General features: G+C 76.0%; 1 non-coding gene across 1 annotated transcript; it reads left to right on the top strand.

Moving 5' to 3' along the window:
- MIR6724-2 (microRNA 6724-2) lies at positions 1–92 on the top strand. The gene has a single exon (NR_128715.1). It is a non-coding gene; the product is annotated as a microRNA 6724-2 (primary transcript).
- The last annotated feature ends 651 nt before the right edge of the window (positions 93–743 follow it).

Below are 743 nucleotides of genomic sequence, written 5' to 3' on the forward strand. Positions count from 1 at the left end.
CGCTGCGCTTCTGGGCCCGCGGCGGGCGTGGGGCTGCCCGGGCCGGTCGACCAGCGCGCCGTAGCTCCCGAGGCCCGAGCCGCGACCCGCGGGGACCCGCCGCGCGTGGCGCGGGAGGCTGGGGACGCCCTTCCCGGCCCGGTCGCGGGTCCGCGCTCATCCTGGCCGTCTGAGGCGGCGGCCGAATTCGTTTCCGAGTCCCCGTGGGGAGCCGGGGACCGTCCCGCCCCCGTCCCCCGGGTGCCGGGGAGCGGTCCCCGGGCCGGGCCGCGGTCCCTCTGCCGCGATCCTTTCTGGCGAGTCCCCGTGCGGAGTCGGAGAGCGCTCCCTGAGCGCGCGTGCGGCCCGAGAGGTCGCGCCTGGCCGGCCTTCGGTCCCTCGTGTGTCCCGGTCGTAGGAGGGGCCGGCCGAAAATGCTTCCGGCTCCCGCTCTGGAGACACGGGCCGGCCCCCTGCGTGTGGCACGGGCGGCCGGGAGGGCGTCCCCGGCCCGGCGCTGCTCCCGCGTGTGTCCTGGGGTTGACCAGAGGGCCCCGGGCGCTCCGTGTGTGGCTGCGATGGTGGCGTTTTTGGGGACAGGTGTCCGTGTCGCGCGTCGCCTGGGCCGGCGGCGTGGTCGGTGACGCGACCTCCCGGCCCCGGGGGAGGTATATCTTTCGCTCCGAGTCGGCATTTTGGGCCGCCGGGTTATTGCTGACACGCTGTCCTCTGGCGACCTGTCGCTGGAGAGGTTGGGCCTCCGG

Source organism: Homo sapiens, chromosome 21 (assembly GCF_000001405.40).
Source record: "Homo sapiens chromosome 21, GRCh38.p14 Primary Assembly".
NCBI lineage: Eukaryota > Metazoa > Chordata > Mammalia > Primates > Hominidae > Homo > Homo sapiens.